Below are 11,333 nucleotides of genomic sequence, written 5' to 3' on the forward strand. Positions count from 1 at the left end.
TTTAAAAATTAAAAAGACAAATTTAAGCTAAGGTTAATTTATTATTGAAGAAAAAAGTTATTATAAATTTAGTGTAGCTTAAGTGTCCAGTGTTTGTAAAGTTTACAGTAGTGTGTGGTAATGTCCTAGGCCTTCACATTCACTCACCAATTACTCACTGATTCATCCAAAGCAACTTTCACTCCTTTAAGCTTCACTCATGGTAAGCACTCTATACAGGTGTACTGCATTTTATCTTTTATACCACATTTTTACTCTACCTTTCTGTGTTTAGATACACAAATGCTTATTATAATTGTGTTCCAATTACCTACAGTATTCAGTACAGTCACATGATATACAGGATTGCAGTATAGGAGCACACCATATAGCTTAGGTGTGTAGTAGGTGATACCATCTAGGTCACTGTAAGTACACTCTATGATGTTTGCACAATGACAGAATCACATCACGGCAAATTTTTCTCAGGACATAATTACATCATTAAGTGATACATGACTGTATATAGTTGGAGTTTGAACTTAGACCACTATGATTCCAAAGGCAGCAGTGTGTGTGTGTGTGTGTGTGTGTGTGTGTGTGTGTATTCACATGTACATATGCTCATGAACTGTTGCATAGTTTACCAAATGTTGCCAGGTTTAAAATGTACAGAGCAGGATACTGATAAATTTTATACTCTGATTTCTCTAGAGTTCAGACCAAAAACAAGACAGAAATCAGTAAAATAAAGTACAAGTGAAAGCCAGAATAAGAACAATAAGTAATATAATATTGCAGAATTTAGAACAGGAAACTGAGAGAAAAAGTTTGATTCTACTTTAGTGCAAGAAACAGATTGAATATAACAGGAAAATAGCTAGCTTGCTAGACATAGATATAATATAAATATAGATACGGATATAGATATAGATATAGGTATAGATATTATTACTGGTTCTTAGAATTATAGAATTTCCAGCACTAGATGCAACCTCACAAAACATTCCAACCAATCTTCCCATTTACAAGTGAAAAAAAAGGAGGCCGGTAGAGGAGCAGTAGTTTGTCCAAGGTTAGAGGAAGAGTTAATGTACCGATATTAACCAAAGACTTCTTTCCTGTTTAATGCTTCCCCACTGTATCATGGGGCCTCTTGTAAGCATAGATTAAAAAAAAAGCAAGAGAGAAAATTAAGATATAAGTAACTAAGAGAACAAAAGAAAAAAATATGATAAAGATGGGAGAAAAGAGAATTAAAAACAAAAAAGTGGGTACACTCTACATATATTAAAACATTCAAGAGAAGCATGTTGAACGATTTAAGAGAACTGTGGTCAGATTTAGATGAGTGCGATGAAGAAGAGAAGAATTGAAGAATAGTCTATGAAATGAGTTCAGATATCATGAAAGAAACAGGAATTAGGAAAAGAATGCCAAATAGCATGCGGAAATCAAAGCAGGGATGAAGAAACAAAAGCTTGGAAAGAAAAGTAACATATATTTTAGTGGGTCTGAGAGCCATAGAGCTGAATTCAAGACATTTGAATATGTTCTCATCAACCTCTGATGAGTATTCAATGATGTATGGAAAAGTGTGAAATGACTACAATATTGCAATAAGGTGCTAGTCATGTTTTTAAAAAGAATATGGGAAAAGAGAGGCCCTTGACATGGTTAAACACAGTTTCAAGTTGCTGTTTTCCCCCAGTAATCCTGCTGCAACTGTTCTCATGAATAGTTATTGGATGACACTTGCAGTGCAGTGGTGTTCCATAAATCAGAAGGAAATGGCCAGTGAACTTGAAATTACAAAATATGCTATGAGGAAGGTAGGGAGAATAGTTTAGAGGGACAGTGTTTTTCTCTTCAGGAACATGCTGGGATATATAAGCACAATGCATCCAAATGAACCTAGGATGCCCATACTCAGTGGAGGTGGGAAAAGATAAAATGACAGATGGAATGAAACAACATATCTGTATTATGTAAGTTGTCCTGTGTTCTTCTTCATAAGGAAATGTGACAAATCTATACCAAGTTAAGAATACAACTGGAGGCTTCCAAATTAAAAAGAAGTATATGGGCCTTGCTTGTTAAATGATATTGTCTGAGCCATAACAGGATGCTGGAAGATACAGGACAAATTATAGCAGTAGGGATAGTATTAAAGATGAAAATTTGCAGAAGAGTAGGCAACAAATCTTTAAAAAGATACTTTTATAGTGTTTTGTAAGACTTGCAACCCTTATTCTCTGTAATGTGTTTTGTCATTGTAATGTGGTGTGATAAAACCTTGAACTATTGGTTTGTAGTATGCATAATTACAGATTTTTTTTAATTTGAAGAAAAACCTAAAAAGCATGGCAATTTAGTTTATTAATTAATGGCAATGCACTTTATAACATGTCAAGTATTTTTCTCTGTAGTAAAATGTGCTAATTTAAAAAGTCATAAAATTGGATTGATGGACTTGAAGCTAGACAGGGTGCATTCAAAGATTTCCTTTCTAAGGAAGGTAAATAAAACAAGGAAAATAAAAACATGAAAATAGTATATATCTCTTATATTTGCAATTATGATAAGAAAGTTATTGAAATATGTTTGTAATTATATTGCATTTTCTGCCGTTTCAATAAAAATTCCTTTTTGGGGAATTAAAGCTTGTGTTTTGTTTTGTTAAAGTATAGTCTAATTAAGATTTTTTCCCATGTTCTAGGAAAATTTAAATGTTTATCATGCAATTGTATAGGGAGTCATAATTTAAATATTCTAGTTCCTAGCTAACCACAAATTATAGATAGTAGGATATTCCAAGGGGATTATTTTAAAAATATTATCTGCAGTGCCCACAATCTAAAACACTTTTATTCTTTGCTTTTCATTCACTCTCTACAAGATAAAAGTATTGTGAAGAACACTCAGCATCATTCCTACTCCATCTTATCCTGTCCCCTGTTTTGCTGGGGTCAGAATCCTGGGCACTGAATTCTCTAGAGTCCCTTGCTCATATAGTTCTAGTTTCTACCAAGAGACACTTGATGACATTTGGAATTTGTAAGGAAAGTGGGGAATGTTATTCCTCCTCCAGTAGTGGTAGATAGTTGTGTGGGCTCCAGAAAATATGACTTAAAACAACAACAGCAACAACAAAAAAAACCCAATGTACCCTGTAAAATGCATTATTATTAAGTTTACAGCTTGGTGAATATTTACATATGCAAGTATCTGTGTGACCAACACCCTGATAAAGACACAGAACATTTTCATCATCCCAGAGGTTTTCTTCATGTCATTTGTCAATCAATACCCACCTGAGGTAACCACAATTGTGATTTCTAACAGTTTAGCTTTGCCTGCTTTTGGAATTCATGTAAATTGTCTCACACAGTTATGTATGGTTTTTGCATTGTTTGGCTTCTTTTGTTCAGTATGTTGTCTGTAAGACTTATCCATTTGCTGTATGTGGCAGTATTTCATTTTTTAGTTCTTGTGTAGTAGTCCATTATATGACCATGCCATATTTTATTATCTATTGCACTCTTAATGGACATTTGTATTGTTACAAGTTTTTGGCTCTTAAAAGTAAAGCTGATTCAAACATTTACATATATATGCCTTTAATGGTCATATGTGAAGATGGGAAACTTGCATCAGCCTCCAAATGGGCCTCTTTAGAGAGTTCCCTCAGGAATTATCTCTTTGGTGTTGTCGGTAGCCATGGGCATTGCAACTGTTTTCCTGCAGTTCCTGACGTGAGAAGATTTTCCTGAAATCTAATGACAAACTTAAGAGGTAGAAGGAGTCTTCCCTGTTATTTTTCCGCCTTCTGACATATTTGCAAGCCTAGAATTCCCTTTATTCAATTCCATTCTGCTTGAAATAACTACAATGATTTCTCTGGTACCAAAAGTGTGTCTCGGATATAGAATGTCAAAGACAAAGACCTGAAATTATCTTATCTATGGTTGCCAGAGAAGGTACAGAATTCCCAGTCACATTTGAATTTCAGATAAACAAAGAATTATGTTTTATTATATCTATGGTTCATGCAATATTTGTATTTCTATTTACTAAACTTGTGAACTCTATTCAGACATGGTTAAGACAAAGGCAGTGATGATGCATTTCCCCTACATTCCAAAAACTAGCAGATATCTGCAATATCTGCTAGCTTTTGGAACGTAGGGAAAATGCAGTCACAGTAATGCAGCCTGTGGTTACCAGGAATAAAGCTACATACAATGAAGGCAGGGCTTTGGGAGATCAAGTAATACTTTGCTAATTATGTCAAGTCTCAACTTTTTAATGTGATTGATATAATTTTGAATGATAATATACCTCAGAGAACAATATTAAAAAGACAATTGACATTATTGTTTCTCTGTTTCATATGACAGTGAATACAATCTAAAATAAGTTGCCCAAAGATTAGGTTTAATCACATACTTAACTAAAAAGTGCTGGGGTATATCTGACTTCCAGCCTAGCTATATTCAATATGCTACCCAGACCCTGGTCATTTCTTGTCTCAGCTTGCTTTATGTTTTTGTTTTTTATTTTTACTTAGCATAATTATTTTAAAATTCATCCAAGTTGTTTTGTAGATTAATAGTTAATTCTTATTTATTGGTGAATATTATTTCATTGTATGGATACATCACAACTTGTTTATCCACTTACCAGTTGGTTTATGCTTGGGTGGTACCCATTTTTGGTCTATTGCCAAAAAAGCTACTATAGGCCCTCATATACAAGATTTTGTATAGATATATACTTTCATTTCTCTTAGGAAATTACATGTGATATAGATATATTTTTAACTTCTTAATAAAGTTCCAAACTGTTTCCCAATATGGTTGTATTATTTCATATTTTCACCAGCAGTGTATGTGAGTTCTAGTTCCCCCGCCCCATCACTAACACTTGGTGTGGTAAATATTTTTAATTTTAGTCATTTTAGTAGGTATGTAGTATTATCTCATTGTAGTTATCTTGATTATATTTTCTTGTGACTATTTGCCATTAGTATATCCTCTTCCATTTTTGAAAAAATAGAGTTGTTTTCTTATTATTCAGTTTAAGATGTCTTTATATATTGTAAATACCAATCCTTTATCAGATATATGATTTGTAAATATTTTCTTTGGTCTGTGGTTTGTTTTTGAATTCTTATAACAGAGTCTCTCAAAAAGCAAACGTTTTTAATTTTGCAAAGGTCCATATATTTTTTGATGGACTATACTTTTGATGTTTTATCTTGTCTTTTGTCTAATTTAAGGATACAAAAGTGTTTTGTTTTATTCTAGAGATTTATGTTTAATGTATTATATCTAGGTCTATAATCCACTTTAAGCTAACTTCTATATATGGTGCAAATTATAGAAAAAGCTCAGTTTTTTGCATATGGATATTCAGTAGTTTCAGCACCATTTGTTGAAAAGACTATCCTTTCTCTAAGGACATGCCTTTGAACCTTTGTTCAATACCAGTTATCTGTATATATGTTCGAGTCTATTTCTGAACTCTCTATTCTGTTCCATTCTTCTTTTTCTCTATCTTTATACCGAATCACACTGTTTTGATTATTGTAGATTTAAGTATTCAAATTAGGTAGTGTTAGTCATCCAACATTTTTTTCTAAATCAAAGTTGTTTTGCTTATTGTACATCCTTTGTATTTCTTTTTGATGTTAGATTTCAGAATTTAGCTTGCCAATTTTTAAAACAACGTCTACAAGAATTTTAATTTGAATGACATCAAATCCAAATTAGAAGTGACATCGTAAAAATATTGGGTCTTATGACCCATCAAACAGTGTATAATTCCATTTATTTTGGTCTGCTTTGATGTCTCTTAGCAGTGTATTTTAGTTTTCAGTATATAGGCCTTGCACATCTTTTGTTAGATGCATCCCTATTTATTTCACTTTTTGATGCTATTGTATTATTTTTCCATTTTGATTATTTTCTAAGGTCATCTCTTTTATTATGAACTATGAATTTTCAGTTTTAATAATGATAACATAATTTTTTCTTTTTGAGTTTTTGAATATACCTTGCATTCTTGGGATATATCCCACTTGGACAAAATGTAGTATTCATTTTCTATATTGTTGAGTTTTGTTTGCTAAAATTTTATTAATAATTTTGCATTTGTATTTGGGAGGGGCATTATTTTTAGTTTTATTTGCTTGTAATGTTTTTATTTTGCTTTCAGGTCAGTGATGGCTTCATAGAAGAGTTGGTAAGTACTTTGTGCTCTTTGGTTTCCTGAAAAAAATAAACTAGGAAGCTACTTGAGATTGCAGTTTTCTCAGTGGAAAGATTTCTAACTACAAATTCAATTTCTTTAACAGATATGGGGCTATCCAGATCCTATTAGTGAGCTTTGGTAGTTTACGTATTTCAAAAAATTTATCTATTTATTTATATTGTCAGACTCATTGGCATAAAGTTATGCGTAATGTTGCTTTAGTATATGCTTAATATCCATAGATTCTGTAATGACGCATACCTTACCTCTCATTACTACTATTGGTAATTTGTATGTGTTTGTTTTTTAAAAATTGATCATTATGGATGATTAAATGTATTGATCTTCTCAAATAACCAGCTCTTGGTTTCATTGATTTCCTTTGTATTTTTCTTGTTTTCTATTTTATTGATTTTTTTCTTTAAATTTTATTTTATTTTATTCTTTGCTCACTTTGGGTTTAATTTACTTGTATTTTTTAGTTTTATAAGGCAGAACCTACATTTATTTAAGATTTTCATCTAATATAGGCATCTAGTGCTACAGATTTTATACAAAGTACTACTTTACCTTTATCCCACAAATTTTGTATGTTGCTTCATTTTTACTCACTTCAAAATATTTATAATTTACCTTTTGACATTTTGACCAATGAGTTCCTTCTATGTGTTACTTATATTTTTTTAATTAGGGGATGTTCCAGAAATATTTCTGTTATTGGTTTCTAATTTATTTCCAAAGAGAACACAGTATGATTTCGATACTTGAAAATTTATTGAAATTTTGGTTTCCTTTTTTTTTTTTTTTTGCCCCAGAATAAGATCTATCTTGTTAAATGTTTCACATACAGTTAAAAGCATTTGTAGTCTTCTGTTGTTGCATGGAGTCTTCACTGAACACCTATTAAGTGACATCGGTTAATAGTGTTGTTTATGTCTACTATAATACTTCTTTCTACTTGTTCTCTTAGAGAGAGAGAGGGGTGTTAAAATCTCTGATGATAGTTATGTGTTTGTCAATTCCTTCATGCAGTTCTATTAGTTATTGGTTAATATATTTTAAAGCTGTTACTAGGTGGGATTGTTATGCTTATTGAGGAATTGACCTTTTTATCATCACAAAATAACTTTATCCAAGGTAATATTCTTTGCTCTGATATTGACTAATATTAATATAACCACTCCAGCATTTCCATAATTAGTGTTAGCATAGTATAACTTTCCTCAATTCTTTTGCTTTTAGCATATATTTTTCTATATTTAAAAGCCATTTTTTTTTGCATCGGTAGGCAGCACACAGTTGATTCTCGCTTTTTTTTATTATTATTATACTTTAAGTTTTAGGATACATGTGCACAACGTGCTGGTTTGTTACATATGTGTACATGTGCCATGTTGGTGTGCTGCACCCATTAACTCGTCATTTAGCATTAGGTATATCTCCTAATGCTATCCCTCCCCCCTCCCCCTACCCCACAACAGTCCCCGGTGTGTGATGTTCCCCTTCCTGTGTCCATGTGTTCTCATTGTTCAATTCCCACCTATGAGTGAGAGCATGCGGTGTTTGGTTTTTTGTCCTTGCGATAGTTTGCTGAGAATGATGGTTTCCAGCTTCATCCATGTCCCTATAAAGGACATGAACTCATCATTTTTTATGGCTGCATAATATTCCATGGTGTATATGTGCTACATTTTCTTAATCCAGTCTATCATTGTTGGACATTGGGGTTGGTTCCAAGTCTTTGCTATTGTGAATAGTGCCGCAATAAACATACATGTGCATATGTCTTTATAGCAGCATGATTTATAATCCTTTGGGTATATACCCAGTAACGGGATGACTGGGTCAAATGGTATTTCTAGTTCTAGATCCCTGAGGAATCGCCACACTGACTTCCATAATGGTTGAACTACTTTACAGTCCCACCAACAGTGTAAAAGTGTTCCTATTTCTCCACATCCTCTCCAGCACCTGTTGTTTCCTGACTTTTGAATGATTGCCATTCTAACTGGTGTGAGATGGTATCTCATTGTGGTTTTGATTTGCATTTCTCTGATGGCCAGTGATGATGGGCATTTTTTCATGTGTCTTTTGGCTGCATAAATGTCTTCTTTTGAGAAATGTCTGTTCATATCCTTCGCCTACTTTTTGATAGGGTTGTTTTTTTCTTGCAAATTTGTTTGAGTTCATTGTAGATTCTGGATATTAGCCCTTTGTCAGATGAGTAGATTGCAAAAATTGTCTCCCATTTTGTAGGTTGCCTGTTCACTCTGATGGTAGTTTCTTTTGCTGTGCAGAAGCTCTTTAGTTTAGTTAGATCCCATTTGTCAATTTTGGCTTTTGTTGCCATTGCTTTTGGTGTTTCAGACCTGAAGTCCTTGCCCATGCCTATGTCCTGAATGGTAATGCCTAGGTTTTCTTCTAGGGTTTTTATGGTTTTAGGTCTAACATGTAAGTCTTTAATCCATCTTGAATTAATTTTTGTATAAAGTGTAAGGAAGGGATCCAGTTTCAGCTTTCTACATATGGCTAGCCAGTTTTCCCAGCACCATTTATTAAATAGGGAATCCTTTCCCTATTGCTTGTTTTTCTCAGGTTTGTCAAAGATCAGATAGTTGTAGATATGCGGCATTATTTCTGAGGGCTCTGTTCTGTTCCATTGATCTATATCTCTGTTTTGGTACCAGTGCCATGCTGTTTTGGTTACTGTAGCCTTGTAGTATAGTTTGAAGTCAGGTAGCTTGATGCCTCCAGCTTTGTTCTTTTGGCTCAGGATTGACTTGGCGATGCAGGTTCTTTTTTGGTTCCATATGAACTTTAAAGTAGTTTTTTCCAATTCTGTGAAGAAAGTCATTGGTAGCTTGATGGGGATGGCATTGAATCTATGAATTATCTTGGGGAGTATGGCCATTTTCACGATATTGATTCTTCCTACCCATGAGCATGGAATGTTCTTCCATTTGTTTGTATCCTCTTTTATTTCCTTGAGCAGTGGTCTGTAGTTCTCCTTGAAGAGGTCCTTCACATCTCTTGTAAGTTGGATTCCTAGGTATTTTATTCTCTTTGAAGCAATTGTGAATGGGAGTTCACTCATGATTTGGCTCTCTGTTTGTCTGTTATTGGTGTATAAGAATGCTTGTGATTTTTGTACATTGATTTTGTATCCTGAGACTTTGCTGAAGTTGCTTATCAGCTTAAGAAGATTTGGGGCTGAGACGATGGGGTTTTCTAGATATACAATCATGTCATCTGCAAACAGGGACAATTTGACTTCCTCTTTTCCCAATTGAATGTCCTTTTTTTCCTTCTCCTGCCTGATTGCCCTGGCCAGAACTTCCAACACTATGTTGAATAAGAGTGGTGAGAGAGGGCATCTGTGTCTTGTGCCAGTTTTCAAAGGGAATGCTTCCAGTTTTTGTCCATTCAGTATGATATTGGCTGTGGGTTTGTCATAGATAGCTCTTATTATTTTGAGATATGTCCCATCAATACCTAATTTATTGAGATATTTTAGCATGAAGGGTTGTTGAATTTTGTCAAAGGCCTTTTCTGCATCTTTTGAGCTAATCATGTGGTTTTTGTCTTTGGTTCTGTTTATATGCTGGATTACATTTATTGATTTTCGTATGTTGAACCAGCCTTGCATCCCATGGATGAAGCCCACTTGATCATGGTGGATAAGTTTTTGATGTGTTGCTGGATTCAGTTTGCCAGTATTTTATTGAGGATTTTTGCATCAATGCTCATCAAGGATATTGGTCTAAAATTCTCTTTTTCTGTTTTGTCTCTGCCAGGCTTTGGTATCAGGATGATGCTGGCCTCATAAAATGAGTTAGGGAGGATTCCCTCTTTTTCTATTGATTGGAATAGATCAGAAGGATTGGTACCAGCTCTTCCTTGTACCTCTGGTAGAATTCGGCTGTGAATCCGTCTGGTCCTGGACTTTTCTTGGTTGGTAAGCTATTAATTATTGCCTCAATTTCAGAGCCTGTTATTGGTCTATTCAGAGATTCAACTTCTTCCTGGTTTAGTCTTGGGATAGTGTATGTGTTGAGGAATTTATCCATTTCTTCTAGATTTTCTAGTTTATTTATGTAGAGGTGTTTATAGTATTCTCTGATGGTAGTTTGTATTTCTGTGGGATCGGTGGTGATATCCCCTTTGTCATTTTTTATTGCGTCTATTTGATTCTTCTCTCTTTTCTTCTTTATTAGTCTTGCTAGGTTCTCGCTTTTTATTTAATCTGAAAATCTCTGCATTTTCACCACATTCATTCATGTTATTGCAAATGACAGAATTACCTTTTGTTTTGTTTTGTTTTGGTTTGGTTTACTTTTTTGTTTTTTCGTTTTTTTTGAGATGGAGTCTCGCTATGTCGCCAGGCTGGAGTGCAGTGGCATGATCTCGGCTCACTGCAACCTCCGTATCCCGGGTTCAAGCTATTCTCCTGCCTCAGCCTTGTGAGTAGCTGAGACTGCAGGCACCCGCCACCATGACTGGCTAATTTTCGTATTTTTAGTAGAGACGGGGTTTCACCATATTGGCCAGGATGGTCTCGATCACTTGACTTTGTGATCTGCCCTCCTTGGCTTCCCAAAATGCTGGGATTACAGGTGTGAGCCACTGCGCCCAGCCCAGAATTTCCTTTTTAAAAAGGCTGAATAGTATCCCAGTTTCTATATACAGCACATTGTCTTCATTAATCTGTTGATGTATAAGTAGGTTGACTGGCTATTATGAATAATGCTGCTATGAACATGGGAGTGCAGATATCTGACATACTGATTTTATTATTTTTGGATATATACCCAGCAGTGGTATTGCTGGATCACATGCCATTCTGTTTTTAATTTTTTGAGAAACTTTCATACTGTTTTTCAAAATTACATACTAATTTACATTCCCACCAACAGTATGAAAGTATTATAAATCCTAGAAGTAAAAAATATAGTAACTGACTGAAAAACTCATTAGAAAGATTCAACAGCAGACTTGATCAAACAGAGAAAAGAATGGGCAAGTTTGAAGACAGAACATAAAAAATCAGCCAATTAGAGGCACAAAAAGATTAAAAAAAAAGATTAAAGAAGGCCTATGAG

The 11,333-nt window shown here is 34.1% G+C and overlaps 1 long non-coding RNA gene across 1 annotated transcript in view; it reads left to right on the top strand.

Annotated features, from left to right (window-relative positions):
* LOC107984041 (uncharacterized) overlaps positions 1-10,189 on the top strand; it is a 367,164-nt gene extending 356,975 nt beyond the window's left edge. Inside the window, exons 7-8 of the long non-coding RNA XR_007059692.1 lie at positions 6,199-6,225; positions 10,029-10,189. This is a non-coding gene — a long non-coding RNA (uncharacterized LOC107984041). The remainder of the gene's footprint in view (positions 1-6,198; positions 6,226-10,028) is intronic.
* Positions 10,190-11,333: the final 1,144 nt, after the last annotated feature.

This window comes from Homo sapiens, chromosome 6 (assembly GCF_000001405.40).
Source record: "Homo sapiens chromosome 6, GRCh38.p14 Primary Assembly".
In the NCBI taxonomy this organism is placed as follows: Eukaryota; Metazoa; Chordata; class Mammalia; order Primates; family Hominidae; genus Homo; species Homo sapiens.